This window comes from Homo sapiens, chromosome 6, assembly GCF_000001405.40.
Source record: "Homo sapiens chromosome 6, GRCh38.p14 Primary Assembly".
NCBI classification, from domain to species: domain Eukaryota; kingdom Metazoa; phylum Chordata; class Mammalia; order Primates; family Hominidae; genus Homo; species Homo sapiens.
Window position 1 is genome coordinate 70785918 of NC_000006.12, and position 19796 is coordinate 70805713.

Consider the following 19796-nt stretch of genomic DNA (forward strand, 5'->3'; position numbering starts at 1 on the left):
TAGAAAAAGAGGGAATCCTCCCTAACTCATTTTATGAGGCCAGCATCATCCTGATACCAAAGCCTGACAGAGACACAACCAAAAAAGAGAATTTTAGACCAATCTCCTTGATGAACATACATGCAAAAATTCTCAATAAAATACTGGCAAACTGAATCCAGCAGCACATCAAAAAGCTTATCCACCATGATCAAGTGGGCTTCATCCCTGGGACGCAAGGCTGGTTCAATATACACAAATCAATAAATGTAATCCAGCATATAAACAGAACCAAAGACAAAAACCACATGATTATCTCAATAGATGCAGAAAAGGCCTTTGACAAAATTCAACAACCCTTCATGCTAAAAACTCTCAATAAATTAGGTATTGGTGGGACGTATCTCAAAATAATAACAGCTATCTATGACAAACCCACAGCCAATATCATACTGAATGGGCAAAAACTGGAAGCATTCCCTTTGAAAACGGGCACAAGACAGGGATGCCCTCTCTCACCACTCCTATTCAACATAGTGTTGGAAGTTCTGGCCAGGGCAATTAGGCAGGAGAAGGAAATAAAGGGTTATTCAATTAGGAAAAGAGGAAGTCAAATTGTCCCTGTTTGCAGATGACATGATTGTATATCTAGAAAACCCCATCGTCTCAGCCCAAAATCTCCTTAAGCTGATAAGCAACTTCAGCAAAGTCTCAGGATACAAAATCAGTGTACAAAAATCACAAGCATTCTTATACATCAATAACAGACAAACAGAGAGCCAAATCATGAGTGAACTCCCCTTCACAATTACTACCAAGAGAATAAAATACCTACAAATCCAACTTACAAAGGATGTGAAGGATCACTTCAAGGAGAACTACAAACCACTGCTCAACAAAATAAAAGAGGACACAAATGGAAGAACATTCCATGCTCATGGACAGGAAGAATCAATATCATGAAAATGGCCATACTGCCCAAGGTAATTTATAGAGTCATTGCATCCCCATCAAGCTACCACTGACTTTCTTCACAGAATTGGAAAAAACTACTTTAAAGTTCATATGGAACCAAAAAAGAGCCCGCATCGCCAAGTCAGTCCTAAGCCAAAAGAACAAAGCTGGAGGCATCACGCTACCTGACTTCAAACTATACTACAAGGCTACAGTAACCAAAACAGCATGGTACTGGTACCAAAACAGAAATATAGATCAATGGAACAGAACAGAGGCCTCAGAAATAATGCCGCATATCTACAACTATCTGATCTTTGACAAACCTGACAAAAGGAGCAATGGGGAAACGATTCCCTTTTTAATAAATGATGCTGGGGAAACTGGCTAGCCATATGTAGAAAGCTGAAACTGGATCCCTTCCTTACACCTTATACAAAAATTAATTCAAGATGGATTAAAGACTTACATGTTAGACCTAAAACCATAAAAGCCCTAGAAGAAAACCTAGGCAATACCATTCAGGACATAGGCATGGGCAAGGACTTCATGTCTAAAACACCAAGAGCAATGGCAACAAAAGCCAAAATTGACAAATGGGATCTAATTAAACTAAAGAGCTTCTGCACAGCAAAAGAAACTACCATCAGAGTGAACAGGCAACCTACAAAATGGGAGAAAATTTTTGCAATCTACTCATCTGACAAAGGGCTAATATCCAGAATCTACAATGAACTCAGACAAATTTACAGGAAAAAAACAAACAACCCCATCAAAAAGTGGGCAAAGGATATGAACAGACACTTCTCAAAAGAAGACATTTATGCAGCCAAAAAACACATGAAAAAATGCTCATCATCACTGGCCATCAGAGAAATGCAAATCAAAACCACAATGAGATACCGTCTCACACCAGTTAGAATGGCAATCATTGAAAAGTCAGGAAACAACAGGTGCTGGAGAGGATGTGGAGAAATAGGAACACTTTTACACTGTTGTTGGGACTGTACACTAGTTCAACCATTGTGGAAGTCAGTGTGGCGATTCCTCAGGGATCTAGAACTAGAAATACCATTTGACCCAGCCATCCCATTACTGGGTATATACCCAAAGGACTATAAATCGTGCTACTATAAAGACACGTGCCCACGTATGTTTATTGTGGCACTATTCACATTAACAAAGACTTGGAACCAACCCAAATGTCCAACAATGATAGACTGGATTAAGAAAATGTGGCGCATATACACCATGGAATACTATGCAGCCATAAAAAATGATGAGTTCATGTCCTTTGTAGGGACATGGATGAAACTGGAAACCATCATTCTCAGCAAACTATCGCAAGGACAAGAAACGAAACACCACATGTTCTCACTCATAGGTGGGAATTGAACGATGAGAACACATGGACACAGGAAGGGGAACATCACACTCTGGGGACTGTTGTGGGGTGGGGGGAGGGGGGAGGGATAGCATTAGGAGATATACCTAATGCTAAATGACGAGTTAATGGGTGCAGCACACCAACATGGCACATGTATACATATGTAACAAACCTGCACATTGTGCGCATGTACCCTACAACTTAAAGTGTAATCATAATAATAAAAAATAAAATAAAAAAAAACTTACATATTAGGGAAATATTATAGGAGGTGCGTACTCCAGACTCTATAGAGAGATCAAGGAATACTTTGAATATTTCCCAGAGGAAGCAGTTTTAACTCAAAATTAAAGGATGAGTAGGAACTAATAGAAGCATGGGTTTCTGAAGAAGAGGGACTAGCAAGAGGAAAGGCCCCTAGAGTTCAGAGAAGCAGACTAGAGAAAAACCAGAAGGAGTCATATATGGCTGGGCAGAGTGTATATGAATGTAGCCAGGGGAGGAAAGAATAGGGGGATAAGGTAGAGATGACACTTGTGGCCTGATTAAGGAGTTTGTACTCTGTCCTTATATAATGTATATAAACTATTCAGGCCTTCTAAGCAGTGATATGTGGTGGTCAGTTTTACTTCGAGAATGACATGGTATGGAGAATAGATTTGGAGAGGAGCAAGATTTGGGGCAAGGAGACCAGTTAGGAGGACTAATCCAGAAGATGGATATTGATGATTTCCTACTAGAGATTTAGAAAGAAGACTCGAGTACCTAGCTTTTCATGTCTCTGTATTTGTTTTCTCCTTTTCACTGCCCTTTTTTCTTCCCTCATTTACCCCTGTGTTCTGTACTGTCACTTGCTTCCAGTTGTCAATATGTTGATTTCTGTTTCTTTATTCGTTGCTCACATAATGTATATTACCCTGCTAATATGACTTTAAAGAGTGACTTTATTGAAATATAATTCATATATAATAAAAGGTAGATATTTTAAGGTACAGATCAATGAATTTTTACAAATACATATCGCTGTGTAACCACTACCACCACAGTCAAGATATAGAACCTTTTCGTCACTCCAAAAGGTTTCTTTGTGCCCCTCGCTAGTCAGCCCCCAACCATGGCCTTGGTGACTGATCTGTTTTTTTTAATCACCATAGATTATATTTTCTTTTCTAGAGTTTTATGTGAGTGGTTTCATACACACTGTGTACCCTTTTGCGTCTTTCTTCCGTTATGTTTCTGATTTGTTATGAATTCACCTGTTCATCTGTCCATTGACTTTTCAAATGTCTTTCTTCTTAAGTTTGTTTTCTTTCCCAACTGGAACATGGTATTAAATCATTTATTTTTCTTTTTTCTTTTTTTTTTTTTTGGTATTAAAATGTGATGTGCATCTGTTATCCCAGCTATCCGGGACGCTGAGAGGCAGGAGGATTGCTTGAGTTCAGGAGTTTGAGTCCAGCCTGGGTAACATAGAAAGACTCTGTCTCAAAAAAAAAAAAAAAAAAAAAAAGTGGTTACTGAAATGAAAAAGGTTTTTACTTGAGTCCAGGATTCAAGGTTTTAGTGAGCTATGATCTTCACACTGTATTCCAGCCTGGGTGACAGAGTGAGACCCTGTCTGAATTTTTGTTGTTGTTGTTAAATTACTGATACTTATTGAATGGAATTTTATATTCCTGCTACTGGGTTTTAAAAGTGGCCACATCAGCTTATCATCTTCTCAAATGGAGGACAAGCACTTATATAATGAATTATCTTGCTGCTTTCTAAGGATTAGTAACTTTTGACATACTCAATGCCCGTATTATCCTTTTATATTTTTGTTCCACTTTTCATGAGCTTGGGCAAAGAGGTCTTTATGATACAGCTATCTTCTAAAGTGATCGTACGGCTTTTTATTCTTTTTATTTTTTATTTTTTTGAGACGGAGTCTCGCTCTGTCTCCGAGGCTGGAGTGCAGTGGCGTGATCTTGGCTCACTGCAACCTCCGCCTCCCAGGTTCATGTGATTCTCCTGCCTCAGCCTTCCAAGTAGCTGGGATTACAGGCATGCACCACCACACCTGGCTAAATTTTTATATTTTTAGTAGAGACGGTTCCCCATGTTGGCCAGGCTGGTCTCGAACTCCTGAACTCAAGTGATCTGCGTGCCTTGGCCTCCCAAAGTGCTTTATTCTTATTTTCTGTATAAAGTAGTAATTAAAGATTTCTAGCAAGTAAATATCCAATAGGACAAACCAGTTTTAAGCCAGGCTTTAAGGCTCGACTTTGCCTTTTTTTTATGGAAGATCTACATTTTATTGTGTTGTTTATTTTCTATCCTGTGTAACTTGCATTAATATTCATTAAGTGGCTAGCTTACACAATTATAACAGAGCCAACAGTGAGTAAGCAAGGAGAAAAAAATTCCCTGAAGTTTATAGTCTTGTGTTGTGATTCAGGAATTACTGCCATAACTAACTTAATAACAAGCAGATTGAGGGAGGACTTGTCATCTTGCAGTGTTATTTTGACATTACATAATGACCTATCTGTAATAGCACCTTTTAGTTTTAAAAATTCCTCATAGGCACTATTGATATGATAGGGCAGTATAGAGATGTCAGTTTTATGGCCCCAAAGATCTGTGCATTTTATAAATGTATTTCAGTTACATTTTGGCAGTAAAAGAGCAGGAAGATAATGCTTCCATTAAAGTGATCAACTACGCATGCAGAAATTGGGCAGGAAGATGTGTGAAAAAAGCTTTTAGATGAAACCCATTTTCGTGTGTAAATTGCCTGTGCTGCATATATAACTGTCTCATAATGCTTTGGGGTAATTCAGCAAGTATAGCACTGGAAATGGTGTTTGTCTGCTGATCTTAATGAAGCATATAAATTGCTTTATAATAAGTCTGCTGCTCAGCTGTTATATTACATTAATCTGCTCTTCTTTTCTCCTAGCTTTTTTTCTGTTTTCTTAAACAGTTGATTAAAATTTTAATTAACTTTTGCTATTTCAACTCCGTTTTATTTTTCATTCTTAAAAGGTATTATAAGTAAAAACAAAAACTCATTTTTGCTCTTCTACTACTTGGGACAGTGTGTCTTTACGTTTCAGAGCATTTGTATTTCAATAGTCACGTCGACTAAAGATGAACTATGAGAGAAGCTTAATTATTTTCCATATACTTTTGGTATGATCTTATCTGACTACATTTTAAATTTTATATCCTAGTAAAATCCATTTTAAATCATATATTATTCAGTACGAAATCCTTTTATAAATTTCAAATTGAAATTTTTAAAAAGCAGTACTTATTTCTTGATGCATTGTTTTACTTTATTAACATGCCTCTAAGTGCTTCTATATCTCAAAAATATACAGGGATTTTTTCTTTCCTGTGCCTGTCAATTCTCATTACCTTCTTTTTGTTTTTTTCCTCCTGACTTTTCACCTGTACTCCACAGATTTCCTCCTCTGATGCTCCTCTTCAGCCTTTGGTATCCTCTCCTTCTCTGCAAGCTGCTGTTGACAAAAATAAATTGGAGGTATGGTCATGTTTTAACCAGCTACATTATGTAGTGTTAAATGGTAAATTAACTTCCTTTTGCAGTGTGTCATTCGGGAACACTATAATAGTTGTTGATATTTTGAATGATCCCTAGAATTAAAACAGCAATTTCTAGAATTTTTTTATACCACAGGTATGATTAAAGAACTTTGAATCTATATTTAATTTCAGAATGACTGATTTATTGGTGCCATGGCTGTATCTCAACAGTTAAGAAGCAGTTAGTTTTTTGTTGTTGCGCCCATTACTATCTTATACTTACAGGAACGTTTTTTTAAAAAAAATTTTCTTTCTATGATTCTGTTGTTAAAAGCACTTAAAGAAAGTTAATGTCAAGTTTCTTTTTTTTAAGCAATAGTAAACATCATACAGATAAAACGTGTATTATGGGATAATGAGTTCAGAATCATCAATGACAACTGTTAGAATGCATTTTGGGTGGAAGTGGTTAGGGTGCAGATACTACCACTATGTATTTTTAAAGTCATCTGTACAAATATTTGAGAGTTTTCATTTCTTTTGACTCTTTACCTATTTTTTTTTTTTTTTTGTTACATTGGCCTTAATAAATTAGTTTCAGGCATCCTTTCAACTATCATTTTTTCCCGTAGACATGGGATAAATGATAAATGGTTGGCTAGATGTGTGGTATACAAAGGCAAGATATAGCCCCTGCCCTCCAGGAGCTTACAGTCTAAGGCAAGAAAACAGATAACTATATAGCAGTTTATAATACAATATATTATGGGCTGTGATTGAGGTACGCTCACTGTACTGCAGGAGGCATCATTTTGATGCATCTTATGCTCTGAATAAGCATTAGATATAAGGGGAAGGATTAGGAAGAATTCCATACATGGAAACTAGCCTGTGAAAAAACATATGGGCAAAGTGCAGTGTTTGGGGAGTTGCAAGTAGAATGGCATAACTGAAATATGAGTAGAACGGCAAGGCTCCTATCTTTCTCATGAAGGAGCCTTCTCATGAGCCCACTGAAGGAGTTTGATTCTGAAGGCTCGGGCACTTGAGTGATGAGTTTTAAGCGTTGGGGGGTGGGTGTGACAGAATCAGATTTTCATGTTGTAACACAACTTTACAGGCTCCGTGGGGAGTGAATTTTGTGGTCATGGGTGAGGAAAAGACTTAACCTATTACTCTAATCCAGTAATGAAATGAGGGGGACATGTTCCAAAGTAGTAACAGAGGGAATGTAAAAGAGAGTGTAATTTTTAAATTTTATTTTATTTTATTTTATTTTTTTGAGACGGAGTCTTGCTCTGTTGCCAGGCTGGACTGCAGTGGCGCGATCTCGGCTTACTGCAGCCTCCATCACCTGGGTTCAAGCGACTCTCCTGCCTCAGCCTCCTGAGTAGCTGGGACTACAGGTGCGCACCACCATGCCCAGCTAATTTTTGTATTTTTAGTAGAGACAGGGTTTCGCCATGTTGGCCAGGATGGTCTCGATCTCTTGGCCTTGTGATCCACCCGACTCGGGCTCCCAAAGTGCTGGGATTACAGGCATAAGCCACTGCGCCTGGCCAAGAGAGTGTAATTTTGAGAGGTCTTAAGAAGGTACAGTCTATGGGGTTTAGTAATTGGTGTCTTGTGGAGGTGCTTTGGGAAGCTTGTGACTTCCAGTTTCTATCTTGAACATCTTAGTAGATGATGGTGCCAATTAGTGAGACAAGGATACAAGCTGAAAAGAAGGAACAGGTTTGAGCAGAAAAGGAAAGAGGTGAATTAGAAGTTGGACGTGTTAAGTATGAGGTCACTGTGGAACATTGAGGTGTTTAGTAGTTGGTTGGATATACAGGTCTAGGCCCATGGGAAAGAAAAGGGGAGGAGAGTAGTTAGAGAGAGAGAGAGAGAGAGAGAGAGAGAAAGCTTAAAAATTTTGGAAACTATGTCTTTATTTTATTTTTATTTATTTATTTATTTATTTTTTTGAGACAGAGTTTCGCTCTTGTTGCCCATGTTGGAGTGCAGTGGCGCGATCTCGGCTTATTGCAACCTCCCACTGCAACCTCCGCCTCCCGGGTTCAAGCAATTCTTCTGCCTCAGCCTCCCGAGTAGCTGGGTTTACAGGCATGCGCCACCATGCCTGGCTAATTATGTATTTTTATAGAGATAGGGTTTCTCTGTGTTGGTCAGGCTGGTCTCGAACTCCCGACCTCAGGTGATCTGCCCACCTCAGCCTACCAAAGTGCTGGGATTACAGGCGTGAGCCACTGTGCCCGGCCCTATGTCTTTATTTAAATCACTCAAGTATAGTTTGATTATAATGAACCCAGTATGTACTTACCTCCATCTTACTGGACTTGAATGTTTAACCAGTTTTCTTGCACAGGAGGTCAGCTGTTTCACTACGTCACTTGTGCATATAGCCACCAGGTTTCAAGAACGACTATTTTAAAATATAAAATACTGCAGTATTTTGTTCTTGCTGAGAAAATAGTTTAAAACAACTTAGGTTTTCACAGTACTTTTAGATCTTTTAGCAGCTTTTGATTCTATGGATGGGAGTCATCTGTGGGTCAAACTGCATGATGAGTTTAGAACCCATGCTGTTAATATTACTTCGAAGCCTGTATCCTAATACCACTGCCAGAATCAGAGTAGGTGACAGCTATATTTTTATTATTGTTATTATACTTTAAGTTCTAAGATACATGTGCACAACGTGCAGGTTTGATACATAGGTGTACATGTGCCATGTTGGTTTGCTGCACTCGTCAACTCATCATTTACATTAGGTATATCTCCCACCACCCCACGACAGGCACCGGTGTGTGATGTTCCCCGCCCTATGTCCAAGTGATATCATTGTTCAGTTCCCACCTATGAGTGGAACATGGGGTGTTTGGTTTTCTGTCCTTGTGATAGTTTGCTCAGAATGATGGTTTCTAGCCTCATCCATGTCCCTAGAAAGGACACGAACTCTTCCTTTTTTATGGCTGCATAGTATTCCATGGTGTATTGTGCCACATTTTCTTTTCTTTTTTTTTTTTTTTTTTGAGATGGAGTTTCACTCTGTCGCCCAGGTTGGAGTGCAGTGGCACGATCTCAGCTCACTGCAAGCTCTGCCTCCCGGGTTCACGCCATTCTCCTGCCTCAGCCTCCCGAGTAGCTGGGACTGCAGGTGCCCATGACCACACCTGTCTAATTTTTTGTATTTTTAGTGGAGATGGGGTTTCACCGTGTTAGCCCGGATGGTCTCGATTTCCTGACCTCATTGCCACATTTTCTTAATCCAGTCTGTCATTGATGGACATTTGGGTTGTTTCCAAGTCTTTGCTATTGTGAATAGTGCTGCAGTAAACATAGATGTGCTGCATGTGTCTTGACAGCTGTATTTTTACAGCTGAATTCTGGTGTTAAAGAGTATCAAGTCATGCTCTCCCTCTAGTAAATGTAGCAAGCGAATTTGATTTGTTTTTAGTGATTTCATATGTGCCCACCAATCATGGTGATTAGGAAGTCAAACTTCTTTCCTACTCATGACAATGGCCTTCTTGAGAAATAACTGTCTTCACCTGTGCTGGCTACTCTAACACTATACCATAGATTGAGTAGCTTATAAACAACAAAAATTTACTTCTCACAGTTCTGGAGGCTGGAAAGACAAAGATCAAGTCTCCAGCAGATTCTGTGTCTTCTGAAGGGTCCACTTTCTGGTTCATAAAACGATACATCTTTGTGCCCTCATATAGTGGGAAAGGGCAGGAAATCTCTCTGGGGCCTTTTTAATAAGGGTGTGAATCCTATTCATGAAGGTTTCATCCTCATGACTTAATCACTTCCCAAAGGCCCCACCTCCTAATAATATCACATTGGGGATTAGGTTTTAACATGTGAATTTTGGGGTGGACACAAACATTCAAACCATAGCAATAACTAATAGCTCTGAGAGGTTAGGGAGCAACTCATTCTCAACATATTTTTCTTTTTCTTTTTTTTTTTTTGAGATGGAGTTTTGCTCTTGTTGCCCAGGCTGGAGTGCAATGGCATGGTCTCAGCTCACTGCAACCTCCGCCTCCTGGATTCAAGTGATTCTCCTGCCTCAGCCTCCCAAGTAGCTGGGATTACAGGCGCCCGCCACCACGCCCGGCTAATTTTTGTATTTTTAATAGAGACAGGGTTTCATCATGTTGGTCAGGCTGGTCTCGAACTTCGTGATAGGCCTGCCTCGGCCTCCCGAAGTGCTGGGATTACAGGCATGAGCCACCATGCCCGGCCTCCTTCTCAACATATTAATGAAAATGTTCTGTCACATTGCTTTCTGCACCATAGTTTACTACGAATATATAGAAAACATTTTATAATATATATAAAATTTTTGCACATCCTATTTATTCTTTACTTATAAAATGGGGATAATATTACTAACTTCATAAAGTTGTTGTGAGGATTAAAAGAGCCAAAACAGTGCCTGGCACATAGTAACGGTTCAGAAAGTATTAGCTGTTACTGTAAGGAATAATAACAGCAATAATAAATATCAAAGCTCCACTGGACCACAGTTAGTAGTGAGACCTGGAAGTTTGGGCTCCATAGTCCCTCAGTCCTGCTACTAGCTTTGATTAACTGTGTTGCTTTGGGCATTACTTCTTAAGATTTTGTTTCTTCATTTGTAAGATGACAGTAGGTAAAGTTTTTATTTCAGAAAATTGTTGCAAAGATTAAATTAGACAATAAGGTGCTTATCACCTGGCCCATAGGAAGCACTTAATAAGTGGTAGTTGTGTTTTGGAAATGAAGGTTTTGATTTGGGAAATGGTTGAGTCAGCAGTAGGTAATGTTTCTAGTTATCCTTAAAGGGTTACATCTTCCTTATTTCCAGTATAAAGCCCAGGCACTTGAGTAGATATGAAGATCTTTTTTGAGAACTATCCCAACTTTCTAGATGGTCTTCTGTCTGTGCTAGACTATGTTAATATCCTTAATGTTTAAGGCAAAATGTCACTTTTGACATATGCTCTTCTGGTAACTAAAGCATATAGATTACTCTTCAGGTTTTAGCACAAGTTCAACTTTATGTTGACTTTTATCCTGTTCCTGAACAGCATTATTGAAACATAATTTTAGAGAATCCTAGTCTAAAGGAGCCTGATATATAAACTGTTCAGATTCTGGAAATTCTATCCATGTATTCTTCTTTTGTTGCAAAGCAATATACCAATAGTTTGTTAGCTTTGTCCTCTACTTAAATGCTTTCACTAATTGATGAATTACTATTATAACACTTACTGCCTTTTATTAATGGCTAATAAAAGGTTAAAAAGAGAAATGCTTTAGAATTTCCCTGTTCTTAAAATTGCAGTTGAAGACATTGCTTATTCATGCCCCAAATATAAAGATCTTTGCTATGAATTTCTTTTAAAATTTTGAACTAAGATGTAAATTTTTCCTTTCCTCTTTTTAAAATCACACAACAAACACTAAAATTATAATGTGCCATATTTGTGTAGTGCTTTATAGTTTGCAAAGTTGCTTTCTAGGTTCTTAGTGCCTTTTTCTTTTTAGTGTTGAAATGCACATTAAATATATATCTGGTTTAATACTTAGAAGACTATCACTGTGTAATGAATATTGAAACTCAATGTTATTACCACTTTGAAAGCTCCTGTGTGACTCTGTTCCCAAATAACCTCATCCCTTCTCCTTAAAGGTAATTAACATCCTGATTTTTATCATCATCGTCTTTACTTTTTTGCTTTTTAAAATAGTTTTATACTAGTGTGTACCCTCCCAAACATCATATTTTTGCCTGTTTTTGAACTTTATATGAATGGTTGCAAAGCCCTTTGAACTTTTATTATTTCTCTCACATTATGGCCTGGGAATTGCCAATATTATATTTCCTGATTTACAAATGGCAGATTTACTTTGACAGAGGTTGCATCAGACACCATTTTAAAGGCATAGGTACAAATGCAGCTGTTAGGTATTTTGAGTAAGTTCTGCATGTTTATCATGTTGCCTTCCCTAGGTTCATCAGTTTATCTTTTCTTTTTTTGCTGCCAGGAAACTAAGGGCCAGGTTAGTGTTTAGTTGCAGTAGACTTTCAGTTCTCAGTTTCTAGTCATCTCTTTCCTCTAAATGCCTTACGAATGCTCTTTGTTTAATCTCTTTTCATTTTCCTCTATTGGCCCTTAAGATTTATTGTTGATACTTTTAATCCTTAAGTTTTTAACATTATATCTAATCCTTATTGGAAATGCAAATTGTGAATATCATAATGCCATTTATACTTCACTGCCTTACACTAGTCAGTTGGCTGTGGTCCCCAAGCACTATCTTGAACATTATTTTTTTCATGAGAAAATCACTGTATTTACTCCTTTTTCTAAAGCAAAATCTATGATAATGGACTGAAGATATTTTGTGATAAAAAAAGCTGATTTTATAGTCTTCCCCTTATATTTGCCTATTATAATTTATCTTTGTGTAATAAAGAAGTCTGTTCTATCACTTAGTTTTTTTTTTTTTTCCATTCAAAATTCAACTTCGTGATTGCTGTTAGGAAGTCTAACCTAATAAAAGGATATAGTGAGAATTTATTGAATGGAGATCTCATTCATTTAAAACAAGCATGAAACAAACCCTACTATATCAAAGAAGTTCTAAATTGTCTTACCGCTGTGCCTCTGTCTTAATTTTTTAACAGATATTCTTTAGTGTCATCAGCATATAACCTCAATGAGAATATGAATTTACTGTTTATTATATTTCAGTAGCACGTAGATATTGTAATTACTGAATATTTCTACCTTTTTCAGATGATTACTCAAACTAATAAGGATGAGTCAAAAATTGCCATTTTTTAAAAAAGTAAACTTATCAAAACTTTGGGCTGTGTTTTAGAAAGAAAAGGAAAAAAAAAAGGAAGAGAAAAAGAGAGAAAAGGAGCCAGAAAAGCCGGCAAAACCACTTACAGCTGAAAAGGTAAAATTCTTTTTTTAAAAATAATCTATTAGGATTACCATTTTATTTGTATACTTATATATTAATGACTTTCTGGATATTTATAATATGTAAATAATCATTATTTTCAACAAGCAATTGTTGAGTGAATGCTGTGTGCTCAGCATGTCCTTCTAGCTTGTCTCTGTATTATTTGTAATCAGTTATCTATATGTGTGGGTATAAACCCTCTGAGTTCCTTGGAGACAGGTATTCTCCTGTGAATGACATAGAGAATGGTGTTTTTAGCTTTCATACACAATCAGACTTAGAAGACTTAGAATTTTAGAGAATGAAGAGAACATAAATGAAAGGGACTTCAGAAAAGACTCTGCTTAAGGTTAGCCTTTGAGCTACCTCTTAAAACATAGGTAGGATTAAGGTGGAAAACGGGTACATGTTTAAGAGAACAGCCTGAAGAATGTATGAAAATTGTAAATAAAATGTTTAGAAAAATAGTGAATTTGAAGAAAGGGATTTGTCTATGTATAGAAACTAGTGAAAAATAACACCAGAATGGTAGATTGAACTCAAATTGTAGATGTTTATTCTTTTGGGGGGAGGAAAGGCTGTGAGCAGCACTTCAAATTCTAAAGCACATGGTACTCCTAATTCAGAAGGGTTTTTTTGAAAATTATTTTAGCAGTGATATGCAGGATAGATGTGATTAGGCGAACTACAGCTAGTGAGAATGTTGTACTTTGTAAAGGGATTGGTTAAATATTTATGGTGGCTTGGCTTTGAATGCATTTCATCATAAGAGTATGGAATCATACTAAGAGAATTGTCAGTAAAGGGAGCATCCTTGATTTTAGTTGTTGAAATTTTAAAAATCAACTTTATTGAGGCATAAATTGGATACTGCAAAGTACATCCATTTAAAGTACATAATAGAAGTACTGTATATAAGAAAGAAGATCCATTCTGCTGTTGAACATTTGGATTATATACAGGTTTTAACTATTCTAAATAATGCTGCTTTGAAACTTTTGTATATGGAATCTAAGCTTGTATGTTTTTAGGGTGACTTAGTAGTGGAATTTCTGCATCATAAAGTATGTGCATCTTGAAGTTTACTGGATAATGTCAAACTTTTTTCCAAAGTGTATACCAAAGGTACTCTTACCATCAAAGTAATTTCACATTCTATGTAACACATAGTGTTGTCAGGGATTTTAGCATTTGCAATATGGTGAGTATGTAATGGTGTCTCATTAAATTTTTACTGTTCATTTCCTTGATTACAGAATGAGGCCCAGTGCCTTTTCATGTCTTTTTTGCCTTCTTTTTTTCACTATAGCTTCATTTATTTTACATTTAAAAAATGAAAATAATACATGTGAAAATAAGGCACGTGTTTTTTAAAAAGTGAAACTTTAAATGGGGTGTGATGGTGCACCTCTGTAGTCCCCAGCTACTTGGGAGGCTGAGGTGGGAGGATCACTTGAACCCAGGAGTTTGAGGCTGCAGTGTGCTATGATCATACCTGTGAATAGCCACTGCACTCCAGCATGGGTAACACAGCAAGACACCCTTTAAAAAAAAAATACAGAAGGGAATAAAAAACAAAAATCTTCCTTTTCATAGGCCTGGTTCAGGTCTTTTGCCTATTTTTCTGTTGGATTGCCTGCTTTTCCTCATTGATTTGTAGCTCTCTATACACATATACATAATGTATGGGAGATACTAGTCCTTTTTCAGTTAAGTGTTTGCAAATACCTTATTTCTTCATTGTGTCTAATTTTGTTTCTGTTTTCATTTTAATTCTTTTATTATTATACTTTAAGTTCTAGGGTATATGTGCACAGTGTGCCGGTTTGTTACACAGGTATACATGTGCCATGTTGGTTTGCTGCACCCATCAACTTGTCATTTACATTAGGTATATCTCCTAATGCTGTCCCTCCCCCAGCCCCCCACCCCCTGACAGGCCCTGGTGTGTGATGTTCCCTGCCCTGTGTCCAAGTGATCTTACTGTTCAATTCCCACCTATGAGTGAGAACATGTGGTGTTTGACTTTCTGTCCTTGTGATAGTTTGCTGAGAATGATGGTTTCCAGCTTCATCCATGTCCCTGTGAAGGACATGAACTCGTCCTTTTGTTATGACTGTGTAGTATTCCATGGTGTATATGTGCCACATTTTCTTAATCCAGTCTATCATTGATGGACATTTGGGTTGGTTCCAAGTCTTTGCTATTGTGAATAGTGCCACAATAAACATAAGTGTGCATGTGTCTTTATAGTAGCATGATTTATAATCCTTTGGGTATATACTCAGTAATGGGATGGCTGGGTCAAATGGTATTTCTAGTTCTAGATCCTTGGGGAATTGCCACACTGTCTTCCACAATAGTTGAACTAATTTATACTACCACCAACAGTGTAAAAGTGTTCTTGTTTCTCCACATCCTCTCCAACATCTGTTGCTTCCTGACTTTTTTAATGATCGCGATTCTACCTGGCGTGAGATGGTATCTCATCGTGGTTTTGATTTGCATTTGTCTGATGACCAGTGATGGTGAGCATTTTTTCATATATCTGTTGGCTGCATAAATGTCTTCTTTTGAGAAGTGTCTGTTCATATCCTTTGCCCACTTTTTGATGTGGTTTTTTTTTCTTGTAAGTTTGTTTAAGTTCTTTGTAGATTCTGGATATTAGCCCTTTGTCAGATGAGTAAATTGCAAAAATTTTCTCCCATTCTTTAGGTTGCCTGTTCATGCTGATGGTAGTTTCTTTTGCCATGCAGAAGCTTTTTAGTTTAATTAGATTCCGTTTGTCATTTTTGGCTTTTGTTGCCATTGCTTTTGGTGTTTTAATCATGAAGTCCTTGCCCATGCCTGTGTCCTGAATGGTATTGCCTAGGTTTTCTTCTAGAGTTTTTATGGTTTTAGGTCTTACATTTAAATATTTAATCCATCTTGAATTAATTTGCATATGAAGTGTAAGAAGGGGATCCAGTTTCAGCTTTCTACATATGGCTAGCCAGTTTTCCCAGCACCATTTATTAAATAGGGAATCGTTTCTCCATTTCTTGTTTTTGTCAAGTTTGTCAAAGATCAGATGGTTGTAGATGTGTGGTGTTATTTCTGAGGCTTCTGTTCTGTTCCATTGGTCTATCTCTCTGTTTTGGTACCAGCAACATGCTGTTTTGGTTACTGTAGCCTTGTAGTATAGTTTGAAGTCAGGTAGCGTGATGTCTCCAGCTTTGTTCTTTTTGCTTAGGATTGACTTGGCAATGCGGGCTCTTTTTTGGTTCCATATGAACTTTAAAGTAGTTTTTTCCAATTCTGTGAAGAAAGTCATTGGTAGCTTGATGAAGATGGCATTAAATCTATAAATTACCTTGGGCAGTATGGCCATTTTCACGATATTAATTCTTCGTATCTATGAGCATGGAATGTTCTTCCATTTGTTTGTGTCCTCTTTTATTTCATTGAGCAGTGGTTTGTAGTTCTCCTTGACGAGGTCCTTTACATCCCTTGTAAGTTGGATTCCTAGGTATTTTATTCTCTTTGTAGCAGTTGTGAATGGGAATTCACTCATGATTTGGCTCTCTGTCATTGTTGTATTGGAATGCTTGTGATTTTTACACATTGATTTTGTATCCTGAAACTTTGCTGAAGTTGCTTATCAGCTTAAGGAGATTTTAGGCTGAGACGATGGGGTTTTCTGGATATATAATCATGTCATCTGCAAACAGGGAGAATTTGACTTCCTCTTTTCCTAATTGAGTACCCTTTATTTTTTTCTGTTGCCTGATTGCTCTGGCCAGAACTTCCAACACTGTTGAATAGGAGTGGTGAGAGAGGGCATCCTTGTCTTGTTCCGGTTTTCAAAGGAAATGCTTCCAGTTTTTGCCCATTCAGTATGATATTGGCTGTGGGTTTGTCATAAATAGCTCTTATTATTTTGAGATATGTTTCATCAATATCTAGTTTATTGAGAGTTTTTAGCATGAAGGGCTGTTGAATTTTGTTGAAGGCCTTTTCTGCATCTATTGAGATAATCATGTGGTTTTTGTCTTTGGTTCTGTTTATGTGATGGATCACGTTTATCGATTTGCGTATGTTGAACCAGCCTTGCATCCCAGGGATGAAGCCCACTTGATCGTGGTGGATAAGCTTTTCGATGTGCTGCTGGATTCGGTTTGCCAGTATTTTATTGAGGATTTTCGCATCGATGTTCATCAGGGATATTGGTCTAAAATTCTCTTTTTTTGTTGTGTCTCTGCCAGGCTTTAGTATCAGGATGATTCTGGCCTCATAAAATGAGTTAGGGAGGATTCCCTCTTTTTCTATTGATTGGAATAGTTTCAGAAGGAATGGTACTAGCTCCTCGTTGTACCTCTGTTAGAATTTGGCTGTGAGTCTGTCTGGTCCTGGACTTTTTTTGGTTGGTAGGCTATTATTGCCTCAATTTCAGAGTCTGTTATTGGTCTATTCAGAGATTCAACTTATTCCTGGTTTAGTCTTGGGAGGGTGTATGTGTCCAGCAATTTATCATTTTCTAGATTTTCTAGTTTATTTGCGTAGAGGTGTTTGTCGTATTCTCTGATGGTAGTTTGTATTTCTGTGGGATCAGTGGTGATACCCCTTTATCATTTTTTATTGCGTCTATTTGATTCTTTTCTCTTTTCTTCTTTATTAGTCTTGCTAGCAGTCTATTTTGTTGATCTTTTCAAAAAACCACTCCTGGATTCATTGATTTTTTTGAAGGTTTTTTTGTGTCTCTATTTCCTTCAGTTCTGCTCTGATCTTAGTTATTTCTTGCCTTCTACTAGCTTTTGAATTTGTTTGCTCTTGCTTCTGTGGTTCTTTTAATTGTGATGTTAGGGTGTCAATTTTAGACCTTTCCTACTTTCTCTTGTGGGCATTTAGTGCTATAAATTTCCCTCTACACACTGCTTTAAATGTGTCCCAGATATTCTGGTACGTTCTATCTTTGTTCTCATTGGTTTCAAAGAACATCGTTATTTCTGCCTTCATTTCTTTACTCAGTAGTCATTCAGGAGCAGGTTGTTCAGTTTCCATGTAGATGTGCAGTTTTGAATGAGTTTCTTAATCCTGAGTCCTAATTTGATTGTACTGTGTCCTGAGAGACAGTTTGTTGTGATTTCTGTTCTTTTACGTTTGCTGAGGAGTGTTTTACTTCCAATTATGTGTCAATTTTAGAATAAGTGTGATGTGCTGAGAAGAATGTATATTCTGTTGATTTGGGGTGGAGAGTTCTGTAGATGTCTTATTAGGTCCACTTGGTGCAGAGATGAGTTCAAGTCCTGGATATCTTTGTTAACCTTCTGTCTCGTTGATCTGTCTGACATTGACAGTGGGGTGTTAAAGTCTCCCATTATTGTTTTGTGAGAGCCTAAGTCTCTTTGTAGGTCTCTAAGGACTTGCTTTATGAATCTGGGTGCTCCTGTATTGGGTGCATATATATTTAGGATAGTTAGCTCTTATTGAATTGATCCCTTTACCGTTATGTAATGGCTTTCTTTGTCTCTTTTGATCTTTGTTCGTTTGAAGTCTGTTTTATCAGAGACTAGGATTGCAACCCCTGTTTTTTTTTTTTTTTAACTTTCCATTTGCCTGGTAGGTCTTCCTCCATCCCTTTATTTTGAGCCTATGTGTGTCTCTGCAGGTGAGATGGGTCTCCTGAATACAGCACGCTGATGGTGATGGGTTTTGACTCTATCCAGTTTGCCAGTCTGTGTCTTTTAATTGGGGCATTTAGCCCATTTACGTTTAAGTTTAATATTGTTATGTGTGAATGAGATCCTGTCATTATGATGTTCGCTGGTTATTTTGACCTTTAATTGATGCAGTTTCTTCATAGCATCGATGGTCTTTCCAATTTGGCCTGTTTTTGCATTGGCTGGTACCAGTTGTTCCTTTCCATGTTTAGTGCTTCCTTCAGGAGCTCTTGTAAGGCAGGCCTGGTGGTGACAAAATCTCTCAGCATTTGCTTGTCTGTAAAGTATTTTATTTCTCCTTCACTTATGAAGCTTAGTTTGGCTGGATATGAAATTCTGGGTTGAAAATTCTTTTCTTTAAGAATGTTGTATATTGACCCCCACTCTCTTCTGGCCTATAGTGTTTCTGCTGAGAGATCTGCTGTTAGTCTGATGGACTTCCCTTTGTGGGTAACCTGACCTTTCTCTCTGACTGTCCTTAACACTTTTTTTTTTTTTCATTTCAGCCTTGGTGAATATGACAATTATGTGTCTTGGGTTGCTCTTCTTGAAGAGTATCTTTGTGGTGTTCTGTGTTTTTCCTGAATTTGAATGTTGGCCTGTCTTGCTAGGTTGGGTACGTTCTCCTGGATAATATCCTGAAGAGTGTTTTCCAACTTGGTTTCATTCTCCCCATCACTTTCAGGTACACCAATCAGACGTAGATTTGGTCTTTTCATATAGTTTCATATTTCTTGGAGTGTTTGTTCATTTCTTATTACTCTTTTTTCTCTAATCTTGTCTTCTTGCTTTATTTCATTAATTTGATCTTCAATCACTGATATCCTTCCTTCCACTTGATCAAATCAGCTATTGAAGCTTGTGCATGCGTCACAAAGTTCTCGTGCCATGGCTTTCAGCTCCATCAGGTCATTTAAGGTCTTCTCTACACTGTTTATTCTAGTTAGCCATTCGTCTAACCTTTTTTCGAGGTTTTTAACTTCCTTGCGATGGGTTAGAACATGTTCCATTAGCTCCGAGAAGTTTGTGATTACCGACTTTTTGAAGCCTACTTCAGTCAACTCGTCAAAGTCATTCTGCATCCAGCTTTGTTCTGTTGCTGGCGAGGAGCTGTGATGCTTTGGAAGAGAAGAGGGGCTCTGGTTTTATAATTTTCAGCTTTTCTGCTCTGGTTTCTTCCCATCTTTGTGGTTTTATCTACCTTTGGTCTTTGATGTTGGTGACCTACAGATGGGGTTTTGGTGTGGATGTCCTTTTTGTTGACATTG

General features: G+C 37.6%; 1 protein-coding gene across 10 annotated transcripts in view; it reads left to right on the plus strand.

Moving 5' to 3' along the window:
* Window positions 1–19796, plus strand: part of SMAP1 (small ArfGAP 1) — a 194133-nt gene that overhangs the window by 118035 nt on the left and 56302 nt on the right. For 5 of the 10 annotated variants that reach the window (NM_001044305.3, XM_005248760.6, XM_047419227.1 and 2 more), the window contains 2 exons: window positions 5772–5852; window positions 12740–12820. In NM_001044305.3, the coding sequence (NP_001037770.1) occupies window positions 5772–5852; window positions 12740–12820 (162 nt within the window). The remainder of the gene's footprint in view (window positions 1–5771; window positions 5853–12739; window positions 12821–19796) is intronic. The other 5 variants (NM_001281439.2, NM_021940.5, XM_011536047.4 and 2 more) reach the window with 1 other exon arrangement.